Here is a 27,831-nt window from a genome sequence, read left to right as displayed (position 1 = left end):
TTACTTTCCTAATTGCGCCATATCACAGGAGGCTCCATTTCCCAGGCTCCCTGTGCCAACACACTTCCTGCTAGGTTCAACCAATGGAAACACTGCAGAAAATGAGTGGGCGGGAGGAAGGCAGAGAATTTCTTCATCTCCCACCCCATTCCACAGTCCCAGTACTTGCCCCCTTACCCCAGCTTTGGGACTCGGATCCAGCCAGTGGGATTGAAGCTACTTTTCTTGATGTTGCTAATCCCTGGGTTGCTTCTCTGTACTGCTTGGCTTCTCAGCATTGCCGTCACCCTATGCAACCAAGTCACAGTATTAAAATGTTTACAATGACTGGAATGGATTGTTTTCCTGACTGTACCCTGATAAAGGGTGAGTGGGTCTATTATATAGAGACGGTTTCTCTCTTTAGCTATTATAAGCCATATGATAGTCAATATCCTTAAAGTTAAATCTTAGTCCTCAACTATATGTATTTCCTTAGCACAAATTTCTAGAAAATTACACAAAACCTGCTGTGAGGCATATTGCCTGTTTTCCCCACATAAGGGCTATACCAATCATACTTCCACCAACAGTGTAGGAGAATGCTCCCATAATCTCACCAGTTTGATATCAGAAAAAATAGGGTCTAATTTTAAACTTTCCCTCACCCATTGGCTATCTCCATTATCCTCTTAGCCATGGTCATCTTCTTCCCTCGGTTATTGTCAAACAGGGCCATGTGAATGTTAATGGGTATCACTAGGGACTTTTGATGAATTTACTCCCCAGACCTGTGTTCTGCTTACTGGGGAGAAGGAAAAGCTTGGTAGGGAGAGGACAGAGGCAAGTGCTTTTTGGATGTTCACGAGAGCTATATATCCTGAATATGAATCACATTTGCCAACCAAGACCAGCCAGAGGCCCTCAGGGTGGTGCTAATTTCAGCCAAGCTATTTAAACAGTAGACCGCAGGACTAGCCATAGCTCTTCAGTGGCTTGAAATCTAAGGGGTCCAAGGCAGTCCAGGAAAAGCTGCCTTCTAATTCCACTGGGACTGAGTTTCTGGAAAAGCCACATGCCTCTCAAACACACACACTCAAAATCAAGACACCCATAAATTACTCATCGGGCTGGCCAGGAAGTACTGATACGACCGGAAGATGACTACTCTCTTAAAAACACTCATGAATCACATTTGATTATTTTGGAAAATGTTAAAATTTATTAATAATAGTTAACATCACATAGTTAATTAAACTAGTTATGTATTGTACATAATGACAACATCTTCACTAGACTGAGTGCTCAAGGATTTGAGATGATTCGCTATTCATCACACCCCGAAGATTGAGATCCACTGTATTTACACAAAGCAAAGCCATGTCAGCAAGGGACTGTCAACCTGATTCTGAGAACATAAACATTCAAAATTTATTTTCCAGTGTTCCTTTTTGGAAACCAACAACACATCTTTAATACCTACACACACACACATCTCTACCTTTAAAAAAAAAAAAAAAAGTGTAACTTCACAGATAGTACCTAATCTTCAAGCTTAAAATTTAAGTTAAAATTAATCTCTATTTTGTGGGCACCCTTTAGTGAACTAAAATCTACATGAAACCTTTTGGCTTTTGTGTAGCAGGAAATACCCACGTTTTGGGTCAATTAGTGCAGATGGGAGCAGCAGAGGAGCTACACCAGACAGCAAAGCAAGACTAGAGCAAACGAGAAGGACCAGCCCCTAGCCCCTCTGTGCTCCCGGGAGGACCTGGGCTGTTTTCACCTAATTACACCCAACTTTGCTTAAAAGTCGTATAATCAGACACTATTCTCAGCACAAGTTTGATAAATATACAAAAACCAGGTTCAATTTCATCGTGAGTTTCTTTCCATTCTGATCCTTGTATCCAATTCAATAGTTACATCCCTCTTTATCATATAGTATCCAGGTTTAATGTCTGTGCTTGTTTGTATTTTAGGACAGAGGCGGGCTTTCAGATTCAGAATCAACTGCACTCTTGAAAAGTAGGGATGGAAGTTTTTAAGCCACTCTCATCCCTCCCAATAGTTTGAAATAAATGTTGTGTATAAAAAAAAGAAAAACACAAAAACAGGTCAGCAGACCAATGCCAGCTCAGCCTAGGGAAGCACATGGACAATTCTTGTAAAACATTTAAAATACAAACCCAAGGTGAAACTTGCTGGGAGGGCTCAAATACACCAAAAATGTTGTCCCTGAGGTTTTATTTGGCTGTTTAATTGTTCTGTTTTGGTTTGTTGTTGAGGATTAGATACAATTTAAAAAAAGAAATTTTGGTGACTTCCTTTATCTTGTCAGAAAGCTTTAGAATACTACTGACTGCCCTAAGAATAAAGATTTCTAAGCCATGAGTCCATTTGAAACGATTCCTTTGGTTTCCTTTGCTTAACATCCCATGGAATACTGCCAAGAAAATCTCTAGATGGAGGAGCCAATTGCTGTGGTCTCTTCAGTCTATTGGCTCGGCCTCCATCTCTGTCCCTGCCTTCCACACACTTCCAAGACCACAGGGGAAGGAGGAGCCAGAAGCAACCGCTTTGCCATTCACTCACCCTGAAGAGGCTTCCCTTCTCTTCCCACAGGCGAATGAGGTATTTCTATGACTAGTCAGTATCTTCCCCTTCTGCCCTTTAACTACACTGAGGCCAATTCTGACAAGACTTGCACATCTATATACATAACAAATTAACATATAAATACATTACGTACAACTGACCATTCATTACATGTCAAGATGAAGAAGCAGATCTACTCAAGAACTAAATAAAATTTCAAATATAAATTAAAATGAAAATACAGTGATTCCACTTTTGCAGGAAAAATTTGTAAAACAAACTAAAAACTCCCCCTTCCCCAAAGGTCCATTGCTTGTGGATAACATGTGCGCCCCGCTGAGATGCGACAGCTGGCCCAACTGCAGGATGCGTCAACTCCTGGCTTTGGTTTCATTGCCCAGACTCAGGATTCCTTGATTCCAGGAATGGCAAATGCTGGAATCCACAGGGCAAATGCTTGTAGATGAGGTTAAAGAGGGGCTGCTGCGTGGATATCCATGGATTTTCCTCCACTGTCACCCCTCCACCCTCCCCACGTCTGCCTATAGGATAATCAGGCTCACATCCTCAGTGGAGACCTCCCAGATCTCTGACAGGAGAATCAGTAACAACATCAGTGCTGGGGGATGCACCCCACTTAGAAATGTCATGTTCAGGCTCCAAGGTGAAGCAACCGTATCTTCATTAGTGTCCCCATCCTGTAGAATTATACAGGGACATGGAATTTGGCAAGGGGGATTACTAAGGGAGATAATTTTCATGTTTTAGGAGAACCAATGGGAATGGTTATGATGCATGTGAACAAATCCTTATTTGGAACTCTATTTATCTTAATAGGGCCAAGCTCAGCCACCAAGCTCTACAATGAGATGCAGAGACAAAACCCAGTCCAGTGGGGTCCTCTCTGCCAAGCAAAAGCCAAGGGGTCTGTCTCTGACACAAGGGGATGACATCTTATAATTTAAAACAGGGAAGAAGGAGAGAAAGAGGAAGTCCCTTCCGATTTCAGGGGTTCTATCGCTGTCCAGCCTCACGGATGCGGCAGGCCACAGCAGTGATGAGCGCCGCCCCCTTCCCGCTGCCATCCTCTGACTGCAGGAAAGACACATCACATTTCGGAGCCAGGTCCTTCACTGTCTCATGCATGACTTTGGCAAAGCTGGAAAAGGTGGGAGGAAGACACAGGAAAAACCATCTTAGTCATGATTGGTTTGTATTTGCACTTAGAAATGAAAGCTAAGAAGCGATGCTGGAAACACAGAAATAATTAAGAAGAGGAGAAGGATGACAGCTATAATGTATTAAACATTTACTATATATTATTAAGTACCAGAAAACCGTGGCTTGGAGACACTAGTACTATGCCCAATTTCCACATCATATCAGCCATTAGGAGAGCTAGGATTCAATTCTGGGACAAACGTCTGAGATCCTGGCAAACTGTGTTCTTAAAACTAATAGTCAGTAAAAGAGAAGTTCAACAACCATGGAAGCCACAAGTGTGCCTAACAGAGGAGCACAACTCTGGAGGGGGAGACCAGGACCAGGACTCATGAATGTGATTTTCTATTTTCCTGGCGCATAGCCTCATATCAGAGCCACATGTGCTCCAAAATGTCATCGGAGGCAAAAGAAGCAGACTTACAGAGTCACTGCTAGGATATCACAGTGATCACAGATCCTTCCTATATGGACCAGAGAAAGAGAGAGTTGTGATCTGCCCCAATACAGCAGGGTCAGGACACCCTCCCCATCTACAAAGCTGAGGATGCCATGTCCCAGGGTTGGTGGCTGGGCTTCTGCCCCCTCCCAATCCTCATGAAACTATATGTACAATAACAGCCTGTGGCTGTTGCCTGTCAACCCCTGCTCTAGAATGTTGAAAAAAAATCTTGCTCCAGAGTTCTAGCATTACATTTGCCAGAATGTTCACAGTAGCACTGTTTGTAATGGTCAAAATCTAGAAGTAACCTAAATATCACCTCAACGATAGAAAAAACAACATACTCAAAGGTACGCTATACAGCTCTGAAAATTAATGAACTACCAACTGTATACTTCAATGCGGATGCGTCTCAAAACAAACACTGTGTGAGAAAAGCCAGCCACAGAAGAGATACCATGTGATTCTATTTGTGGCAAGTTCAAAAATAAGTAAAACTAAACAATATGGATGCATACCTACATATATGGGGGTGGAAAAGAAAAGCAAGGGACTGATTCAGCACAACACTTACCCCTGGCATGGGAGAATGATGACACAGTTGTGGAGGGGCTCGGAGGGGGCTTCCCACGGTGGGGGGTGAAACACAGGCCTACTTCTGATTATGAATCTTTAAACTATAATCCATGTATTATATACACTATTTGGAATGGCTGATAATTCACTATAAAGTAACAAAGGAAAGAGAGAAAGAAAAGGGAAAGAACAAAGACAGAAAGAAGGTAGGCAGGGGGGGCTGGGATCAGGCACTCACTGAGGATGTAGCTTGTAGAGGGTCCCATCCACACCCACTGTCACTTTGAGAGCGTCCAGCCCACGGTTTTCTCGTATCCTGTCCACCACAGCGGCCATGCCTGCGCCACAGAGCTGGGCTGCCCGCCGGGCCACCACAGTGCACACCTCCTTAACAATGATGCTGTCGTCACAGGTGCTCTCAAGCCCTAAGTGTTGCAGGATGGCTCGGACTTGCAGCAGGGCCAGGCAGTCACTGGGGTGGGAGGGAGACAGCAAGTGTTCAGTCATGCACCAAGAAGGCTGGTAGCCTACCACACCAGGGCCTGAGTCCTTACAGGGGAGGCTCTGTGGGGGTCTAGCTCTCCAGGAGCTGGCCCCTCGAGGTGGTTCCCATTCCTAAATTCAGACCACTGCTCAACCTACTGCACTGCATTGACTCTTCCTGACGGTGACAGGAATACAAACAGCTCCTCATTCTACTCTCCCTACTCCAGATAGACCATTACTACTACAAAGTAGATACTCAAAACAAAGCAAATTCACTGTTTATCACAGTGGTCAGTTACAAAGCTCTTTCATGTCCATTTTCTCGCTGCTGTTCATGGGTTTGCAGGGCAGGAACTAACCAAGCAGCATTAGACTCGTGCTTTATTTCTGCTCTGCTGCTCTGGGTGGTCTGAACTGTATTTATATGCTATTTACGAAGGAAGTGTAAATAAAGTTATAGAAAGAAAATAAACCCTCCTATATAAAGAAAGCTATTTTAGAAGCCTGGAATCACCTCGCTGAACATAACAGACCTATAAGCTAGAATATATCTTTCTATTCACTGGTGCAGATGCCCGAGGGGTCTACTCACATCAGTTGTCTAGTTCCTGTTCTTCTCTGCCCTGAGAGTAATGGCACAGCATTAATTTTTAAAGGGCTCTGAAATTCACTGTTCTAATTTGGAGATTTTCCACCATTTGACTGTAGGAGGGAGGCTTTGCTCTAATGAGCCACTGTGTGGCATGTGTCTGCATTGCCTGACGTTCCAACCTTTACTCAATCCTGGCTGCCTGATTACTGCAGCCAGCAGTTAGGAAGGGCTTTCAAGCCAAGTGTGGATGCTTTAATAGGTTATCTTCCTCTGTGCGTTTCAATTTACATGCTATGAGCAGGTATCTTTCTACCTTTGATACATGGTCTAAAACCCAACAATATCACTTTGCATGACCTCAGGCCAGGCTTAGCACAAACTTTCATGAGAATGCTCTGTTTGCCCTTAAAATGACAACTGCCCATAATGTGCTTTTAGTAAACACTATAGACATGAATGTGTTTGCCACTAAACTGACTTTTGTATGAGTCATGCCCTGAGTTATGGAAATCCTTCAGTTTGTCTGCCAGTGAGAAAAAAGGACATGGCCCCCCTGCTACCCTGAGCCCTAAGCTCTCACCTCTCAATCTGAGACAAGAACTTGGTTTCAAAGATGCCCCTTGTCTTGAGCCGCTCTGAGATGCGGCCTCGGAAGAGTAGTCCACGCTTGGTGAAATCGATGAGAATGTTACGGACAATCTCACCCAGGTACATTCCACTGATCATTTTCTCGAACCTGCAATGCAAGTAACATTCATGGAGGTTAAGTAGGAAGGTGGAGGGATGTGTTGAGACAGGACAGGCCAGCTTAGTCACCCCCAGTGCATCAGCAGTGGCAGACAGGCAGACTCCCCTGATGGGAAAGGAATTGCTACTTGATTCACTTGGGCAGGATCCCTGGTGTCTTTGCATGCTAATTCACAACCTTCAGCAACACTGACCACAGTGCCCGAGGCCCGTGGGGCTCCTGGGGAAATAAGCCTTGGAAAGGAACCCACAGGGAAAGGAACTCATTTCCTTTCCAAGGCTTATTTCGAAATTTCAAGAAGCAACTCGAGAAGGAACACACCATAACCCCACTGGACTTCTCGGAGCAGGGGAGAATGCTGAGTCTTAATCTTTAACCTCACTAGGCATTCAGTATACATTCTCTTGGACCTAACCATCATTACTCAAGTAACTACTGCCAGCTGTAGGGCCCCCATCCTGGCCACTGGAACTAAACGTTATTATGCAGTGGCTTGAGGGTCTTTTGGTCCTGAATCCTGCCTTGAAAAAAAAACGAGGTCCCTAGTTTCAACCAATAGCCCATCACCACCCCATCTTATCTTGACCCAGCCTGCTTCCTTCATTAATGTTGCCTGCCTGGCCCCTAGAGGCATTTTAGTCTGTAACTTCTATTCTAGACACATGTTTTGCAAAGCGTATTCTGCAGGACTAGGGTGTTTGATTAATCTAGTTAGGAAACACTACAGACAACATCTTAATGAGAAGTGTGTTAGATCTTAAGCTATTGTCTCTTAGCTCAGACCCCGCTCCCCTACCATGCACAGGACCTTGTGACACTGGGGCTGGCCCCTTGCTCAATTCTGACAGTAGGTGGTGCTCGGCGCTGGAAGATGGAGGAGGGAGAGGATTTGCTCCTGTCTGCATCACCCAAGAGATGCTCTTCAGCCTGTCAGCAGCAGGTGCTTCAACTTTCTACTTGTTTCTCCTTAGAGTGCCAGACCTAGGGTCTAGTATTCTCCCACCTGTTCTCCTAGGCTTTTGGGTGGGAGATGCTTCTTACATTTACTAACTCAGAACTTTCCAGGTGCATTCGACAAGAAACCCTTTCCAAGAAAACCTCCTTTATTAACATCTCACGAGAACCGGCGTCCTGGGAGATGCCATTGTGGAAGCTCTGATCACTTGTTGCCATCCAGTCCTGGGATACACTTAACAGGGCCCCAGTTGGGTGCCTACCTCTGCTTGCCGGGGTTGAGTGAAAGCTCATCCACAGCCACATCAAATTCTGTGCGGAAGTCATCTAGGCATCCATTGTCCCCGAAGGCCCCCCATTCCATGTTCACACACATCCGCCCCTCTTCTCCTTCCACCAGTTCCACGTTGCGCATCTCCTCCATGTAGCAGGCATTGCTGCCCGTGCCTGCCAATCACAGGATACCAGGGCCTCACTCAGCACCAACCCCTCCACACCCAAGGCTGTGCATCCCCATGTGGAAAGGACAGTCTGGGTCCTTACCAACAATGAGGCCAACTTCACAGTGAGGGTCTTCAAAGCCACAGGTCATCATAGTTCCGACTGTGTCGTTCACCACAGCAACCACATCCAGGTCAAACTCCTGAGAGGGAAGAAGCAGATGCCCAGTTCACAGGTGAACCCCAATATTCTCCTTTCAGACAATTGCATGGGAGATTTACAGGTATATAAAATATATATCATACACCATGGCTGACCCTCTCATTCCATTCAGGTCTGTGCTTAAATGTCACCTCTTTGGTGAGACCCTCCCAAGTTGTGCTATTTAACAGTGCCCCTTTCCAGCACACTTGCTCCATCTGCTCTCCTCACCCCACTTCACTCCTTTTCTTTCTTTTTTTTTTTTAAACTCTATATGGTCTAAAAAGGGAAGGCATGAATAATACACCCCTTGTTTAGCATATAATCAAGAAATAACCATAAAAATGTGCAACCAGCAGCCCTCATGGCTGTTTTGCTTATGGAGTGGCCATTCTTTTATTCCTTTACTGTGTGTGTGTGTGTGTGTGTGTGTGTGTGTGTGTGTGTGTTTCACAGCTCTTAACAGCACCTGCCACTAGGTCATGGACTTTATAGAACAAAGCTTTGTTGTGGTCACTCCTGAACCGCCAGTGCTGAGAGCATTGCTTGACACACAGTGCACACTAAACTGCTGAACGACGCTTGAGTTAATCTTCCTCCCAACCCATGCAGCCACACTTACTGTTGCCTTCACTTTCTGAACACACAGACCAGGCCAATCATTGAGGAGCTGACACATCAGACCTCGTGCCATGTGTCTCCTACCTCTCGCCGGTGGATCGCTTCCTTCAGCAGGGTCACCACGTCCTCGCCCTCGCAGCCAGATGCCTTGAAGCCTTTTGTCCACTTGAGGAGGATGCTCTAAAAATCACACACAAGCATGGAAAGGACATCAGGGAAGAGCTCCCAGGTCAGTTCTGGGGGTCCAGCTGTGCTTCTAGCTCTCAACCTCACAGGTCAGACGGATCCCCCAGAGTCACCAATCATCTCACCCGCAAATTAAACTGTTCCTAAGGTACTTACTTGGATTTATTGAGCACCTACTGTGTAGCAGGTACTGGGCTAAGCATAGATCATGCATTACATTATTTAACCCTCACAGCACCCTTGTGGAACATCTATCATGTTTATGGCCACTTTATAAGAAACTGAGGCTCTGGAGTGACTTGCTCAAGGCCTACAGCTTGGAAGAGAGAAGCAGGATGCACTCCGAGGCCCTCCGACCCCAGTGAATGGGCTCATAAGCACCACGCAGCTGACCCTGCTGTGCAACTTCTTCCTATGTGCTTGGTTCGCTCACTGGGCAAAGCAGTTTGCTCTGTCCCTATCCTTTACATCAGAAGGGTCAGTGTATGTCTCCTAATTTTCAAACTCCAGCATCTGGCGAACAAGTGCTTTGCCCACAGCTGGGTGACAGCTAGGCTTCACCACCACCCCATGTCTTTCAGTGAGGAAAACAACTCCAGGCTCCTCCTCAGCATCCTCAGTGGCCCCTTGCCTTCAATGTGGTCCTCTGGGAGCAGATGCTTGACGGCTTTGAACCTGGGAGAAATGCTTTGGGTTTTATTCCCTGATGCCCTCTCTGCTGCCACAGCCCACCAGGAAACAAGCCTCAGGGCTTCAGACTCCTTACCCAAGAGCTCGGCTTCCATAAATGAGCTGTGTGCTCATAACCCACCCACTTGCATGATTTCTCCAGGCCTTGCTCAGGGATTCATGCCCATCAGCTTGGCATTTCATTCACATCAACCTGGAGGTGTCACACTGTGTTCAGACCCCAGGAGATTCAGAAAAACAAAGCACATACCCTCAGAGAGCTGGCTGACCAGTGTGTGCTGATCTCCACCCAGCTCTCTACAAGTTAGCTTCACATGTTTGACGCAAGTTTGTGTTTACGGGATGTTCAAATAACATAATTTCAGGTGATCCTTACTGATGAGGCAAGTGGAGGCCCAACAGCTGGGAAACACAGCTGGGGGCCACAGAGCCCTGGGGTCTCTAACCCCAGGGGCCTCTGCACTGGTGGGATTTCCCCATCACAGGAGGGTCTTGCCAGAGCCCACAGGAAGAAATGACTTCTGCTTTATTTGCTCTTAATTTTTACGGCTCTAGACCTAACACGTGCTCCTCAGAGAAACCTGGAACACAGAATAAAACCTAATCCAATGGCCTGGAATCTCACAATTCAGACAGAAACAGTTAACACACATTCTGGTTTCCCTGGCAAATATATAAATAAATATATAACCTGTTGGCATGAAAAGTTAAGATAGTATCTACTTGAAAATATTTTGGTAGGAAGTCTAGAAGAAGGATATACACTGGAGGGTTATGCTTTTATCATCCCATTAATTGTATTTTATGTTTTTTTATAAAGAGATTACCATTTCTAAAGAAAAGTAGTTTTAAAACTTTTTAGTCATATCACCAGTAATTTTTCATGTGATTAAAATTTATTACAAATAACTAGTGGCTGATACTAGCTAATAAGTGGGTCATAATTTATTTAACTACTATCTCACTATTCAGCAAGTTTGTTTCTAATATCTTTGTTATAATAAGTAATGGTCCATTAAATAGTACATAAGAATTTGTCCACATGAGGCATAAAGCAACGCTAGTCTGGTTAACACTACATGAATGTTAATAGGTGTTGAGAAATGCCAGACTAAGCTGAGTTTTTATTGCAGAACTTCCTAAAACCTTAATTATACTAGTGCACATGGGGAATTCTCTCAGATAAGGAGGAGAAGGAGGCATCTACAAAACTCAGTGAAGCCAAGGTGAGGGCCACTGTTGCAGGGACCCTGTGGGAAATGCTGCTCTTTCCTTGTCACTAGGGTAGGCTCTTCTGCGCTGGCCCAGCTCTTTCTGTCACTTGCTCCCACCTACATGACCCTCTCCACAATGGGCAGCCTGCTCACCTTTCTTTCCCATCAACTCATTCTTCTGACTTGTTCCAAGTCCTCCTGACATCCCCCAGGTATGCACTCGGATTAACATCTGTCTCACTACCTGTCCTGGGGGCTTCAGTATCCATCCCACGAGGGCCACATTCCAAACAGCAGCTCTTCCTTTTCTGAGCTTGCTTCATCAGCCCAGCTTGTTTGTAAGCATCTAAAGGTAGGAGCCATGCCTTTTATACCTAGCAGTGGCATGTGCAACATACCACACACCGGCAGCGTGCACGTGCACTCCTACATGACTGAGACAGAGACACAACTGCTTAAAAACAGTCTCCAGATACCTAATGCTTAGGGCTACCAGTCATCAGCAGATCCAGCACTGCCTACTCAGTTCTCCTCCACTTCTCGGGGCACTCATGTCCAGAACATCTGGGAGTGCCAGATCCTCATGCACCTACTTCATTCACCCAAGGTAACCTGAAGAGGAGTGAGAAGCAAGATGAGACCAGAGAAGAGCCAGGGCATCCAAACAACAGGATATGGCATGAAAATGCCCTGAGCCCATAACAAGGGCCTCAGGAGCCCCACAGCATAACTGACAGCACAGGCTCAGGCATCAGGAACCCAGAATCCAAATCTTGGCTTGGCCAGTCCCAAGCTATTATGACCTGGAGCAAGACACCCAGCACCTCTGTGGGGCTTATCTTCCTTTCTGTAGAATGGGTATTCAAACATATCTCTTATATGGTTGCTGTGAGGGTTAAACGAGATAATGCAGGTAAGAAACCTAACATAGTACCTGGCACACAGTAAGTGCTTAAAAATGCTATATATATATATATAAGTTCAATAGAGATGGGGTCTTCCTATGTTGCCTAGGCTAGTCTTGAAATCCTGGCCTCAAGTAATCCTCCTGCCTCAGCCTCCCAAAGTGCTGAGATTACAGGTATGAGTCACCACACCCGGCAGTTGTTAACATTGAGTAGCATCATCATCGTTGTCCCAAAGGCTGTCACAGCTGAGCTAACCTACTTAACCTCCACCAGCCTCAACTTACTCATTCCCATCAAGGAGCCCCTCCCCACTACTGGTAACTCACGCCCTCCTTTCCTTAGTCTTAGCTCAACTTTCTCCCCTGCTCCATACCTGGCTGGTTTTGTTTAGAGTCAATAAAGCCCACAGGAGAGCCCTCCAGGAAGGTGCTGTTACCTCGTCCAGGCTGTTCTGCTGGCAGGGGAAGGAGAAGGTAAAACCCAGAGGCAGGGACACGCCCTTCATGCCCATGTACTCGAGGAAGTCCGCGATGCACTGGACAATGTGGTCAAAGAGCTGCAGGGAGAAGTTAGGACACTGAGGGAGGGGCCCTGGGCAGGGCAGGCTGCCCCCAGTAGGGCCTGCGCACAACATCAATGTTTCTTTCCACCCAGAAGAAATGCAGGCTCAGGCACAAACCTGAGTCAAGACCAGGCTGCAGCCCTGGGTCCAGCTAGCCCTCCCCAGGGTCACAGATGAGCAGAGAAAGCACTGTCCTCGAAGGCAAGAGGTGACGTCCACCAGGGGCCCCCTCCTGAAGGCGCCGCCCTGCTCACCTCGTCCCCGGTGCCGTGCATGACCTCCTGCGGGATGGCGTAGATCTTGTTGTGCATCTCCACTCCACCCCACTTCCCATTCCGAACACGGACCAGCAGGACCCGGAAATTTGTTCCTCCAAGGTCCAAGGCCAAGAAGTCCCCTTTCTCTGGAAAATAAGCCCAGGGAAGTGATAAGTTGGGGCAGAACATGGGGAATGTGGAGACAGTACACTTAAAACGATCCAAATACACCATTCCTGTTCCATCAAATGCCACTTTATATTACATTCTAGAATACAGAAGGAACAGAAGAGTCCAGCTCCCTGAAGGAAGCTGAAGGGAAATCTTTTAAACTGAGAAAACCCTCCCTTGTTGGACAATTACAGTGTGCCACATGCTTCACACACAGTCCTCGTTCAACCCTTAGGCAGCCCTGTGAGGGAGACACTGCATTCCTCTCTTAAGGATGATTGGGATCTGGCTGATAGTTAAATCACTTGCCCGGGGCCATACGACCAGGACAGGGTAGAGCAGGGACCAAATCCCAGTCTGTCTCTGGAACCTGTAACAACTGTGCTACACTGGCCTGCTCATCGACTGTCTTCTCTGAATTGGAATAAGACCACCATTTCTGAGGTTACAAGACTTACAGCAGGGGTCAGAAATCTTTTTCTGTAAAGGCCCAGACAGCAAACGTTTTAGGCCCTGTGGGTCATGCAGTCTTTGCTGCCACCACTCAACTTTGCCAAGACAGTGCAAAACAACCATAAGCAACGTGCAGACGCATGGGCATGGCTGTGTAATAAAACCTTATGTACAAAAACAGGTGGTGGGCCAGATTCAGCCCATGGGCCATAGTTTGCCAACCCTGACTCAGACCAATGTGGTGATTGCAAGAGCAGATTCTAGAACCTGAATTCCTGGGTTTGAATCCCAGCTCCGACATTTTCTAGTTGTGTGAATTTAGGCAGGTGTCTTAACTTCTCTGCGCCTCAGTTTTCTGTCAAACATAGGTGAATACATAAAATTAACTGCTAATATTTTTTAACAGTTAACAAAGATTAAATGAGCTCATACACATAAAGTGCTTTGACACACAGTAAGCATTCAATAAGTGTTGACCATTACTACTGTTTGCAGAGGAGCACCTTGTTTGAGTTTATCAAAGACTAGAACTCCCTAGTAATACGGCTGAAGAAACGTGTTCTGGTTCAAATGTCCAATGCTAATGCTAAGGGATCCCTCCCAGGGTATCAACACCAGGACAAAGGCCCACCATGTGAGCCAGGTGGCAACCCTGCCGTGTACCTGTGCCGTCCGGGGTAGCACACACGTAGGTGGGCAGCATCTTGACGGGGGCACTGGCATGAGTCTCCTTGCTCAGACCTCGCTCCATTTCTACCTTCATCCTCCTCTTGACCTCCAGCAGCTGGTCATGGCTCAGCTGCAGATGCTCTAATGTCTTCTGGCGGGCACGGTGTTGATCGGCCAGCCGGTAAGCCACTGCTGTCACCATGGCTGCACCTTTGCCACTGCCATCCTCGGAGCGGAGGAAGCGGACATCGCAGCCGGGCACCAGCCGCCGCACGGTCTTATGTAGACGCTTGGCAAAACTGCAGTTCCCCAGGGCGGGTAAGAGACAGGTGTCCATGGTTAGGGTCAATGGTGCAAATAGTTAGACAGTTGCCCACCGCCTTAATCCAAATGCCAAAAGGCACCTGCAGGAGTGGGTGCTGCCCTAAACATCCTCTCTCCACTGTCCCAAGTTAGGAACCACTACAAGAACCATATCAACTATGACCACCCAGGATTGGTTCACCCCCGCCAATGAAAGGAAAAGACCTTTTAATAAGCCACTGTCCCCTACATGCAGCCACACAAGACCTCCTCTTCCTCACTGAAGAAGGCCCCCTGGCCACTGCTCCCTTGCCCAACATGGTACCATCAGCCTCTTTGCTGGAGCAGCCCTGTGGTATTAGGTGGTTCTGATGCCACCTATCTGTCTTGTTCTATCACTCATTTCACTAGCTGCTGTCTGGGAAAGACCCAAAATTAAAAGCTAGAGATGCTCTTCTGGACTTTAGCCTCTCTTTTGCCAGTTTCTGCCAATGATCCCAAAGGTGTCTGCACAGCTAAAGACAACGTGTTCAGCCAGGAACTCTCTGGGTAGTGGCCACTTGGAGCCATGGTCTCCAGGGCCTTCCTACTCCAAGTGCAGGAGTAGGCTGCAGCCTACTGGGGGCTGTTAGAGATGCGGGATCTCAGACTCACCCCAGACCTTCTGATCAGAATCTGCCTCTTAGCAAGATCCCCATGTGATTCACGTGCACACTCGAGTTTTTGCAACACTGGGTAGGAAGAGGGAATCTCAGGGCTGAGGCCTCCTGCACCGACAAGTTAAGAAAACAAAGGCACATTGACCTGGCATTCTTATTAGGTGAAAATGATGGGGAAATAAGTAGGCACAATAAAGAGACATCTTCCAGGTCTCAGCTGACATGTGAATATTCTGGTACCTATGACCTGAGGGATCAAAATGTGGACAGGGCAGGATCAATTTAATACCAAGGTCAGCCAGAGAAGCTGGTAACCCTCACTGGGCTGGGGTGGTCCCTGGCAGAGGACATAGCACCTGCAGGAATCACCAAGAATTCTAAGAGTAAAGACAGGAACAATAACGCATACAAGAGGGTGGCAAAGAGAGTGTCCAGCAGCCAGAGGAGCTCTGCGGAGAGCCCGAGTCATCAGTAGCCTTCAGAAATCACCTCCACCCACACCAGATATGACTTCCTCCCATTCCCCCTTGCCCAGGTGGGAACTTTCATTCCACCAAGACCCTCAGCTCTATGGTCCCTCCACACCACCCCTGAAATGCAAAATGGAGCTGGCATGAGGAGTCACTCAGCCCCAGGTACTCCAGGAACTCCGCATCTCCAGGCCCTGCACACTGACTCACTGGGGGTGTTTCTTGTAGACGGAACCGTCGACCCCAATAGTAGAGCGCAGCCGCTCCTCGCCTTTGTTCTCCTTGATGCGCTGCAGCACGGCGGCCAGGGTGGCTGCGCACAGGCTGGCGGAGCGTGTGGACACGATCTGGCAGATCCGGTGAGTGGCCACGCAGTCCTCCTGAGTCGGGTCCAGGCCCAACCGCATCAGGACCTCACGGGCCTTCCGGATGCCATCCTTCTCCCTGGGAAACAGAAAGATAGCATGTGGGCCTGTGTCTGACCCACTGTGGCCAGTGTGTGTGTCGGGGGGTGGCAAGGAAGCCCTTTAGTTCCAGCAAATTCACCACCCAGTGGGGACAGAATCCCTCTTCATTGCTTAGTCCACCTGTGCAGGGGCAGGAGGAGGAGGAAGGGGGTGCAAAATATAGCACAGCCACCCTGAGGCTCCTCTCCCAGACACCACACACACACGCACACGCATGTGCGTGCGCACACACACACACACACACACACACAGAGACACACGGAGTTGAGAAACACAAGTATTTCTTATGCATGTGCTATGTAAAAACAAGGCCCTGTTCTTGGTGCTTTACCACCAAGTTGTGTGTGTGAGAGTTTGTGTTACATCTGCTTGTGTTAGGGGAGACAGACAGTGTCTCTGCTGTCAGCCACTCTCAACATGTGAACCCTGCGGTGATGCCCACCTGGTTTCTCTCTCTAAAGCAGTAGGAGTCTATTGCATTTCACCATGGACTTGGCACTGCTTTAGCTTGTGTCTAAAGATGGTTGGTAAGGGGCTAGTGCTATAACCTTAGCACCCTTCTCAAGGGAACTAAATCTTGCATCACCTTGGGGTACTTGCATCACCTTGGGGTATAGCAACAAGTAGGCCCCATTCCTTCAAGAGTTTCCCCTTAAAACAAAGTCATTGGCACTGTTCCACTGCTCCATTTGGCTCCAAAGACACCTCCTCTCCACCATCTGGTCCCTGAAACACCAGGACTTCTTCAATCTACAAGTGGAAATCTCAAGAACAGTAAACGAGGCCCGCCTGACTCTTGGGATATTGTTAACAACAACAAAAATCAAGCCATCCTCACTCTTGCCCCTGCTGGGCTGTGAAAATGCAGGCCCCAGCTCTGCTTATTAGAATTAATTGGGTAGCTATATCTCTGGCCAATTCAAAGACCTAGCTTTCTATTATGAAGCAGGGGTCATGACAGAGTCCTTTTTGAGAATTGCCAATAGGGAATCAGATGTCAGAGCTTCAGGAGAAGGAAAAGGAGGCAGATGCAGCTAAGTCTTTCGGGGGCCCTCTGGGGTCCTCCAGCTTTAAACCCAGTGCAACAGCCCAAGTCCCTGCATATGGAGGCCAACCACCGTTCCCAGTACCATGAGTCACTGGTAGCAATCACAATCGAAATCGACAAGAGTGGAGACTGGTAAGTGAAGTGAAGCCACAGGCCCGCCATGGTCCACGTCATGTGAGACCCTCTTGCAGTCTATACTTGAAGAGTCAAAAGGTACAGCCCCCTCCTCATTCCCCAACTACCCGTCAACTCGTGTGGTGATCCAGCAAATAGAGGGGGCTGGCCAGAAGCTCACCCTTCAATGTCTGAGATGTCTTTGGTCTCAAAGCGACCGGTGTTGAGAAGCTCTGGGCTGAGCTTCCCCCCAAAGAGCAGCTCCTCCTTGGCCATCTTCACCAGGATAAGCCTCACCAGCTCCCCCATGTACATCCCACTGATCATCTTCTCAAACCTGCCGGAAGACACAAACCAAAAACATAAAGTCCCCACTGCCCATGTACTCATAGCTTCCCTGTTGAAGCAAGATGCGCACACGTGCAACTTCACAACTAAGGGTTAATGTGTGCAGCACGGCCCAGGAGTAAGATACGTGGAGAGGTGACGGCTCAGAGGGGCTGGCTTGGGTTGTCCCTGCAGGCTGATGGGCCTTGACCTATGGAGAAGAATAAATGAAACTTAAGCAGCCAAATGAAACACACAGGGAGTATGGAACATTCTGGAACAGCCTGTATTTTAGGTAAAGTTATGCGTAGGGTGGTAATCTTTAAAATTCTTCTCTAGCCAGGAAATCATTTTTAAAATTAATATCTTACATAGCCCAATATTTATTTACAAGAGAAAAAAGGCGATCTGATTAGATATGTAGCACAGGCCTAGAAACTCATCAGCTCATACTGTCCACCCCTGCAAGCCGTTCATGGGCTCCAGAGAAAATGGTGTGAAAACCACCTGGGGCAGGGGATGATGGGGCAACATTATAAAGGCAGGTTGGGATAGAGGAATCTGCACTGGGCTCCGAGCTCTAAATGACAGGTCTCAGGGGTCTGGGAGTGAAACAGGCTTCTAAGCAGGCAGGTGACAAGATGTTTTAGAAAGGCAGGGGACGGCCCCCAAACCAGCAGTGCGGTCCGGTGATTTAATTTTAACACTAGGTGGCACTGTTTTCTTTCATAATTGGTCTTTCTGACTAGAACTGAGAGGAAACCAAGCCCTGGTGATAATTCTTTTTGACAAAAGGCCCATTTCTGGGTGTTTGAGAAAGAACCTGTGTCTTAGAGGAGGCACATGGGCCTGCTGCCACTAACTAGGATGAGCCCCAGCGAGGAGGAGGCCCAGGACTGAGATGTGGAAGGGATTCCAAGGTTACCTTTCCGAGAGGAAACCCAGGCCTCCAGGAAGCAGCCTGCTCAAGACCCAAGGCCGAGTACAGCAGCATCAGGGCTAACTGAGAGCTGGCAAAATTGTGAAGATGACAGCGCGCATTTTAAATGTTAGTGCACCCACACAGGCAGAGCTTCAGGAGAAGGAAACCAGCGTGGATGGGAGCCTGGCTTCAACAGTAAGGAACTCCGTGTTGCTAAGTTTTTATTCTAGTTTTTAAAAACACTTTGTTCCAGTCAACATTTGGAAGATACTTACTTGGAAATATATTAGAGGGGACAAAAATTGTCTGTAGTGACTTCAGGGCTACCATGGATGACAATTTGGTGGGTGTCAAAGGATAAGCCGGGGGTGTGCTGTCATGGTCTGGCTGGCAAATTTGTCTTTTGACATTTGAAAGGGCCTTTAGTTCCTCGGAATGACTTGGGTGTGCCTCATTCATGGAGGCAGGCACTGAGTGACTTTTCAGCTCATAAACCTCTCATCAGCCATGGCAGACACAACCAGTATGATCCTCAGAAATTTCAAGTAAAGGACTCATTTCAACATGTGAAACAAGCTTGTGACTTAGATAAATAAACCATGCTTTGACAAAGCAAGGACTCTCAGGCCGGGCGCGGTGGCTCACGCCTGTAATCCCAGCACTTTGGGAGGCCGAGGAGGGCGGACCGCCTGAGGTCGGGAGTTCGAGACCAGTCTGGCCAGCATGGTGAAACCCTGTCTCTAATAAAAATACAAAAATTAGCTGGGCGTGGTGGCAGGCGCCTGTAATCCCAGCTACTCAGGAAGCTGAGGTAGGAGAATCGCTTGAACCCGGGAGGCAGAGATTGCGGTGAGCCAAGATTGCGCCATTGCACACCAGCCTGGGCAACAGAGAGAGACTCTGTCTCAAAAAAAAAAAAAAAAAAACGAAAGCAAGGACTCTCCTGGGTTACCCACCACTGACTTGATTTATAGGGTTCAATTTTCCTGTCCAAGTAGAGATCTGCACGAAAAGCTTTTCTACAACAGTCACAAGACCAGAGATGATCTGTATTGCTCAAAATATTTTGCAACTGCTTCAGACCTTGAAGCAATCCCTGTTTCAAGATCTTTCACACGCACATTTGGCAAATGTTTGTGAGGGTGAAATAAGGTTTTGTAAGAGATAAAAGCAACTAAAAACAAAGGCAGGCCAGGCTGGAGAATACAATATTCAGGATCCAAAATGCTAGACGCCCCTCCTCCAATCCATCCCAGGACATAGTTGGGCCAAGGTCCAAGTGAAGGAGGCCAAGGAAGCTCCTCAGCCAATGTCTCCAGGGGCCATGGGTCTGCCTGCAGCTGCAGCAGGAGGCCCTGGGACCCCAGGGAGCAGCAATGAGCAGCCAGCTGTCAGCCTGTCCTCTGGGTGGTGATGGAGTTGGAGCTATGAAAGGAGCTTTCAGAGACCCCAATCTTGGCCACCTCAACACAACTTTCCTTAGGTGGCTCACAGTTCCCATGGACAATTTACAAATAGAAGGTGGAAAGAAAGAGCAGGGCCACCCACTTACACTCAGAATAGAACCTTCCAAAATGACTCCTGTGAAGGAAACACATTATTAGCTATAATCTGGTATATCCGCTTGCTCTCTGTTTTAGATCCTCTCAGCAATTTATAGTCACAGACATTCCTATGACCAGTGGCCACCTTGGCAAGCTTTGGGGATGTAAGACTGTAAAGAAACAACCCCCTGGCCCCGACCAGCCCCAGACTCAGCTCCAGGCCCCCGCCAAGCCCACTCGCACAGGAAGGGCCTACTCACAGTTGCTTTCCCGGGTTCAGTGAGCCCATGTCAATCTCCTGGTCAAACTCAGTGCGAATGTCGTTGAGCGAGCCATCGTCCCCGAAGGCCCCCCACTCCATATTGATACACATCCGCCCCTCATCGCCTTCCACCATGTCGATGTGGCGCATCTCTTCCATGTAGCAGGCGTTGCTGCCCGTGCCTGCCAAAACAAGGGACGGCTATGCACACGCCTGCTCCGGCCCCTTCCCACCCCTCTTCCCTCTTATACTACTGTCCCGAGACTGCCCGGCCAGGATGGCTGGGATTTCTCACTGCAGACTCTGGGGGCATCACAATACATGGTCTAATCTTCTGCCACCCCCAACTCCATGAGTCCCTGCTCGGCTCTCCAAAGTGACTGGACCATTATCTTCTAATATGAACTACAAAGGAACACCCAGCCCATGGGCCCCTTCTCCCTTTCCAGCCCACACCCCCATCCCTTGGCCAGCACGGGCCCTTCATGCACGGTGTTCACTCACCCACAATGAGACCAATCTCACAGTTGTGGTCATCATAACCACAGGTCATCATGGTCCCAACTGTGTCATTCACCACAGCCACAATGTCGATATCAAAGTCCTGTGGAGACAAATGGGAGGGCTCTGACCTTCATCATCACAGAGGGCGACTTTCCTAACACCAGCTATATATCACTCCTCCTCCTCCTCCTCCTCCTTCTCTCTCTCTCCCCCCTCCCTCCCCATAACTCCTCCTGTGATAAGACTTTTAATTCATTCTCTCTCTGAGCCATTCCACTCCCATGTCAACATCATTCCAACTTTCTTACTTGGAAATCACATTCAAGTCTTCTTCAGGTTAAGAACTAAAGAGCTTTTCTTGTGCCAAGGCTAAGATTATTTATCCATTTGATAATCTAAAAACCCCCAAAGCAGCAGATCGCATACAAAATTATTGAGTACATGTGTCAGGGAAAAGAGAACTCTCCTTAAGCTCCACGTAAGCAAACAATGATGAGTCAAGGACACTCAGGGAGTCTTCAGGGTGGACCCAGAAAAGCCCACAGACCCCAAGCTCCTGCCACCCCACTCACCCCTCTCCTCTGGATGGCCTTCCGGATCAGAGCCACAACGTCTCTGCCTTCCACTCCACTGGACTTGAATCCCTTGGTCCATGAGACCAGGAAACTCTGGAAAGGGACCAAGAAGTGAATATTGATTTCCCACTAAAACTGAAACTCACACCACACCCCTCAAACCTCCGTCATTAGCAGAGACCTCTGCCACTGGGGTAAAGTCATGATTGAATTTGTGTGTTACTTCCTGGCTAGCCTAGGAAAAAGAAACTCAGGACAACTGGCACTATAAGACACAGTCATGTGCCGCATAACAATGTTTCAGTCAGTGACAGATTGTGTATACTGCGGTGGTAACAAGATTATAATAGAGCTGAAAAGTTCCTATTGCCTAGTTAGATACACAGATATCACTGTGTTACAATTGCCTATAGCATTCAGTACAGTAACATGCTATACAGATTTGTGGCCTAGGAGTTAACAGGCTGTCCCATACAGCCTAGGTGTGTAGTAGTCTATACCATCTAGGTTTGTGTAAGTGCACTCTATGATGTTTATACATAAGTGAAATCACCTAATAAAGCATTTCTCAGAACATATCCCCATTGTTATGCAATACATGACTGTACTTGTGTCCTTACATCATTAACTCTCCAAGTATCTTTCTTCCAAGGGTCTTTATCATAACACTTTAGACTGGGGAGTTCCTGATTTCTCATTCCTGTTTCTGTGGAGGGGATAAGGATACTGTGCAATGTGTGTGGGAGAGAGGGTGATAAAGGGCACTCCCAACCCCCCAGATTTCTTCACCAGCCCCCCCATCGACATACACAGTCACCCAGAAAGGCAGAACTTCATCTCCACAATCCTCCAGTGCTACCACCACCACCACAGCAGGTGGCTCAGAAGTCCCTCTCAGCCCTCCCAGCCCCAAGAGTGAAGCAACAAGTGTCTGAGGAGCCCATCTTACCTCGTCTAGTTTAGTCTGGTGGCAGGGGAACGAGAAGGTAAAACCCAGTGGGAGCTTCTTGTCTTTGATTTGTAGCTTATCCATGAAGTTAGCCAGGCATTCGGCAATGTGGTCAAACAGCTAAGGATACATGACACAGGGTGGTGAGCAGAGAGGTCGAACAGCATAGAGATTAAGGGCATGCACTTCAGGCTCAGCACGTAACTAGCTGAATGTGTGCAAAACCCATATCTCCTCTGATATCTTCATTTGCTCACCTACAAAAAGGGAATTATAACTGGACCTGTCCTCATGGAGTTATGAAAAGGAGTACATGAGTCAATACATAAAGGCTTAACATTAGTTTTTGCCCACTAAATATTGTCCTCTACTTAAGCCATTTTTCTAAACTGCTGTCAAGATAACCCTGTGAGGTAGGGGAAATCATGGCCAACATTAATCAGAAAGTCACTTCATGCCCGGGGAACAGAACATTCTTTGGTGGCCCTGTCAGAAACCCATTGACATGGAAGCCCAGTTGACGATCATACCAAAGGCCAGCCCATCTTGCTGCCAAGAAGTATTTTAGTATCCCTGTCTCTGGTGATGGGGTGGGGGGTGGTTTGCAGGGACAGCATTCTCTGTTGGCATTCTATGAACCAACTTAACAAAAACAAGTAATTTTTATATTTTTTTCTCCATTCTAGAAAACTAATCTCCTGAGGGCAATTCAAAGAAGTTATCTTTGTTTTCTAACTTTCTAAACAGAACATCCAGTAAGTCCATGAAGAGCGCTGAGAAATAAATCACATTTTGTGGGTGAGCAGCCTCACAACCGTGACCGCACGCACTCACTGTGCAGGACCCAGAGCTCCTAAGCCTTAAAAAAGCTGTATTCATAATAAGCCAGGCTTTCAATCAGCCCCAAAGCCCACAATCCCCTGGCGTCCTTCTTGCCCCACCCTACACGCTCAAAGAGAAGCTGCTGACCCTTTAGGTGAAGGCTGAGACTAGAGGCATTCAGGTGTAAAAAGTAAGCAGAGGCCAAAGAGGCTGGGCAGATTCCAAGGGCCAGGTTGACTACGTGGCAAAATCTAAAAGCCAAGGTGGATAAGAGGTCAACTATCCTTTTCCTATCCAGGAAGGTGCAAGAAGATTCGACTAAACCATGGCTTTTCAAAGTGTGCTCCTGGAACAGCAACCTCACTCCCTTAACCTGGGAACATGTTAGAAATGTACATTCTAGGGTCTAGGCCCGCCCCCACAGACCGACTATAGCAGAAACTCTGGGGGTGGGGCCCAGCCATCTGTTAGCAAGCCTTCCGCCCTCCAGGTGATCCTGGAGCAGTAGGTTGAGAACCACTATGCCAAACCACAGAAAGTTCTTACATTTATAAAGGAACTGAGAGGTTGGGAGAGGGAAACTGACAGACCTGTTGGATCTCCTGATGCCTAGGGTATGGTCAGCAGGAGGGACCCAGGAAGACAAGGCCACCCCAATCTGGAAGATGGCCAGATCTAACTAAACTTCCCACATCCATTCTGTCTGTCCCTCTGTCTGATCCCATGCAAAGTTAACAACAGCTGAGGCTGAACCTTCGACCTCCAAACCAAAACATTTTCAAGAGCAAAGGCTGGGGAGGACAAGGCTCTCTTGCCATGGGGATCACCAGTGCAGGTGAGCCAACTCCCTTGAACAGAGTTCAAGTATTTTAACATGAAAATAGGGATATATTCAGCAAATTCTGTTCTGTCGGGAAGGTGACTAGAGATGAATTATATGATACGTATATTAAACAAATTCCCAGCACCTTCTTCCTGGCACTCTAGTCAAAATGATCTTTAGTACAAATAGTTTTTATCCCAAAAAAAAAAAAAAAAAAAAAGGGAGATGCAGAAGTTGTGCAAAGAGATAAGGCCAATCATCAAAGACTGGAGGTGGGGGTTAGAAGGGGGAAAAGCAAAATGGTTTCTCCTCCCCCAGCTCTGATCACTGCTTTCTTTCCAGTTGCGCTCCTAACATAGGAAGGTAGAGAAAAATAGACCGTGAAGAAGCATTAAATACTGCCCTGCCCAATATAGTAGCCACTGGCCATCTGTGGCTATGTCAATTAATTAGAATTTTTAAAACAGGCCGGCGCAGTGGCTCCTGCCTGTAATCCCAGCACTTCGGGAGGCGAAGACGGGCAGATCACTTGAGGTCAGAAGCTCAAAGCCAACATGGTGATTCAAAAAATTAGCTGTCTCTACTAAAAATTCAAAAAATTAGCCGGGCCTGGTGGTGCACACCTGTAGTCCCAGCTACTCGGGAGGCTGAGGAAGGAGAATCGCTTGAACCTGGGGGGCAGAAATTGCAGAGAGCCGGGATGGTGCCACCGCACTCTTGGGTGTCACGCTTGGGTGACAGAGTGAGACTGTCTCAAAAAAAAAAAAAAAAAAGAAAAGAAAAGAAAAAAGACCTTAAAAATTCAGTTCCTCCGTCACACCAGCCACACTTCAAGGGCTCGATGCCACAGGGTCAGTGCCTATCATATTGCACAGGGAAGATAGGAGACAGTTCCATTGCTGCAAGAAGTTCCACTGGCTAGGGCTGGGTTCAAAGAACCTACATCTTTTCTCAAGTGGGAAGAGGAGACCTTCTGCTTCCTTGAATTGGAAGACAATCTCGTTCTCTTTGAGGAGGATCTATGGGTAAGATGCAGAGAAAGAGCTAACACGTTCCTGTCATAAAAAGGCTCAAAGGGCATCATTTTATGAAGTTAAAATGGTTTCCTTTTCCTTACTGGTCTGAAAATCTGCTCACTTCCCTTTCCACGAGATATACGTTTAAAATCTTAAAGTGGCTGCCATTCAGGTTTGCAATCCACTGCTCTTCAGGAGAAGTTAATGTGCCGGAAGACAGACTTTACCGAAGGACCCCCATTGCCCAGGTTCACAATTCTTCAAAAACCTTTGCAAGTTTGGGATTCCAAGATTTGTTCTTAACCAAAGTGTATATTTACAATCCATTTGTTTTCCTTTAAGTAAAATACTGATACCAAGTACCAAAAAAGGGGGAAAATATGGGAAAAATAGCACCAGTAATTCCACCACTAAAATAGCCACAATGAACTTCCTTTCAGCCTTTTTTCCAAGTGTTTTCTGCTGCTTTTAGGTACACAGCAGTCTTCCTATTCCTTAGGATCAAAGATACCTATATTTTCTTCTAGCTTTCTTTCCTTTTCATTTTTAAATAGCATTTTTCACTTACTTAAAATCTTTCTAATATCTCAACAGTTTTAATGCTCTTCAAGGTGGGTCTCATAGTTGTTTTTTTTTTTAATCCGGACTATACTGTTTTTCTTATATATTGCATGGAGAGTAGGTTTTCTTGATACCCTCTAACTAGGTGGTCTGAGCAATTTTAAGCTTTTTTCAAGAAGAACTTCACTCACATCTTGAATGTTTAAAATGGATTTTTTTTCTCAATTGGCAGAGACGCACTTCATTGTCCTTGCCAGGCTCTAGGGATGACGCTGCAGGGACTGCAAGGTGCCTGGCCCCTGCATGTTGTCAGGATACAAGCAACAGGGAGGGTGTTGTTCTTGTAAAACTTAAAAATCCACCTAACAAGTCACCATCACGTTACAAGTCTTTTACATAATCACAGCCAAACTTTAGATGTTATTTTGTTTGTTTTGTTTTGTCTTATCTAGTTTACTTGGTTCTTAAACATTTATCATCTGGGGGATGTGGCCCAAGGCAGGAGATCGAGGCAACGGGAAGAAAAGGCAACCACATCCCCCACAACAGGGAACAATGCAATTACTAGCCACAGAAAGTGACAGCACAAGAAGCAATTAGATAAACAGACAAAAACCCCTGTGAAAAAAACACGAAGAGTACTAGATTATGCACCAGCACTATGCCAAATACTTAACAGGTATCATCTCCTCTAATCTACACCACAATCCGTACACTATCATCCCTTTTTACAGATGAATAAACTGAGGTCTATCACTTGCCCAGAATCACACAGCTAGAGTGCCTGAATACAGGACCCAATCTCTTTAATACCTCAGCTTGGTGCAGGCATAGGAGTGGCAGTGGAAGGGCCGCTACCCTCTGTGTCCCTCCTGACGTTATACTGGAGCCACGTGACAACTTCGGTAAAGCTCAAATGCCCACAGCCCTAGGGATGCAGCCTCCCTTCTCCAACCCCAGCATGATAACAAGGAAAGCAGGTTTACCTCAAGGCCACCCCAAAGACAAATAATGAGTCTAAAAATATCTCCCCAGCGTGTTCTACTCATGGTCAGAAATTCCTTTCCCAGGAGGGAGCCTTGTGTGGGAGAGGGAACAGCCGACCACGAATCAGAGGGCTTGACCTCTTCCAAGCCCTGAGGCCCGAGATGTGACAACACTGAACAGCGTCTTACTTGGATTTCATGCTTCTTCTCTAGTCACTCCTTTTAATACTGAGTACATGTTGGGTATAAAATACAACCAGAACAGCCTGAGCTCCGGCTGAGAGGGAGCCCTTACAGCTGTGCTGGCATCCATGAGTGTCTTGGGTGACTGCCTATCCACACGCTGGGAGCGGCTGGAGAAAGTACAGAAAGAACATGCCAAGGAAGTTTTTTGTCACCAGGGGCTGCCCTGAGAGAAGGGTCATACCTGGGTGCCACTGCCTCGCATGATGTCCTCAGGGATGGCATAGATCTGATTCTCCATCTCCACCTTCTGGAGCCCATTGTCCGTTACTTTCACCCAAAGCACACGGAAGTTGGTCCCTCCAAGATCCAGAGCCAGGAACTCTCCGTGTTCTGCAGAGAAAGGAAGGGCCACTATTAATTTTGGGCAAAATTCTTCCAGGAACCAACCGAGACTTAAAACTCCAAGTCCCTCCAGGAATATCTGTGGGTAAGGGGCGGCCAGTGGGATTCACTCCTCTACAGACATTACATATAGTCTAATTTCATGCTATACACCTTTACATTATTATTTTTTTAATTCTCAGAGCTTTATTAAAACTGGAAACTCACAGGGCTGTTTTTTTTTTAATCCCTCACTCCCTTCCCATCCTTTCCTCTGAGTCTCCAAAGTCAATTGTATTATTCTTATGCTTTTGCATCCTCATAGCTTAGTTCCCAATTATGAGTGAGAACATATGATGTTTGGTTTTCCATTCCAGAGTTACTTCACTTAGAATAATGGTCTCCAATCCCATCCAGGTTGCTACGAATGCCATTAATTTGTTCCTTTTTATGGCTAAGTAGTATTCTGTCGCATATACATTACTTTTATAATTCAATCAACAATATAAGACAGTTTCGCATCCAACGATGTGCTCACCCCCTCCTGAGAGCCGACTACCTCCTCAGTGCTTTCAGCAAGCCCCATGCCAGGGGTGCATGCCTCCATCCTGTTCCTCATACCCCCAGAACACCAAATTGCAAGCACGGTATTAAATTTACTTTCTAATGTTTGCATATTATGTTTGCATATTGCAATTGCAGTACTAAATTTACTTTCTAATGTTTGCATATTATGAGGGCCATGTCCTGCAGCAAGACCAGAGGGGTCATGTGATGGAGTGGAATGAGGACCAACACATTGAGGCCTGGTGAATAAGGCAAGCAGGTGCCCCCTCAAAGGATCTCAGGCTTATCAGAATGCAAGAGAATGCTGACCCCAGAGCATGTATGTACGACAAGAGTCAGGCCACTGAAGCAACAGAAAAGCTGTGGGGGAGCAGGA

At 47.0% G+C, this 27,831-nt stretch overlaps 1 protein-coding gene across 7 annotated transcripts in view; it reads right to left on the bottom strand.

The window, feature by feature from the left end:
* Positions 1-1,173: 1,173 nt before the first annotated feature.
* HK2 (hexokinase 2) overlaps positions 1,174-27,831 on the bottom strand; it is a 59,233-nt gene continuing 32,575 nt past the window's right edge. For 3 of the 7 annotated variants that reach the window (XM_005264280.3, XM_047444084.1, XM_047444085.1), the window contains exons 3-18: positions 26,749-26,897; positions 22,114-22,233; positions 21,162-21,257; positions 20,590-20,689; positions 20,084-20,267; positions 17,212-17,367; positions 15,612-15,845; positions 13,964-14,268; positions 12,674-12,822; positions 12,231-12,413; positions 8,944-9,039; positions 8,140-8,239; positions 7,860-8,043; positions 6,475-6,630; positions 5,055-5,288; positions 1,174-3,736 (exon numbers count right to left, since the gene is read on the bottom strand). In XM_005264280.3, the coding sequence (XP_005264337.1) occupies positions 3,592-3,736; positions 5,055-5,288; positions 6,475-6,630; positions 7,860-8,043; positions 8,140-8,239; positions 8,944-9,039; positions 12,231-12,413; positions 12,674-12,822; positions 13,964-14,268; positions 15,612-15,845; positions 17,212-17,367; positions 20,084-20,267; positions 20,590-20,689; positions 21,162-21,257; positions 22,114-22,233; positions 26,749-26,897 (2,591 nt within the window). In that variant the 3' untranslated portion in view covers positions 1,174-3,591. The remainder of the gene's footprint in view (positions 3,737-5,054; positions 5,289-6,474; positions 6,631-7,859; positions 8,044-8,139; positions 8,240-8,943; positions 9,040-12,230; positions 12,414-12,673; positions 12,823-13,963; positions 14,269-15,611; positions 15,846-17,211; positions 17,368-20,083; positions 20,268-20,589; positions 20,690-21,161; positions 21,258-22,113; positions 22,234-26,748; positions 26,898-27,831) is intronic. The other 4 variants (NM_000189.5, NM_001371525.1, XM_011532807.3 and 1 more) reach the window with 3 other exon arrangements.

This window comes from Homo sapiens, chromosome 2, assembly GCF_000001405.40.
Source record: "Homo sapiens chromosome 2, GRCh38.p14 Primary Assembly".
Lineage (NCBI taxonomy): Eukaryota > Metazoa > Chordata > Mammalia > Primates > Hominidae > Homo > Homo sapiens.
Note: the sequence above shows the minus strand (reverse complement) of the source record. Positions and strands in the feature narration are given on the sequence as shown.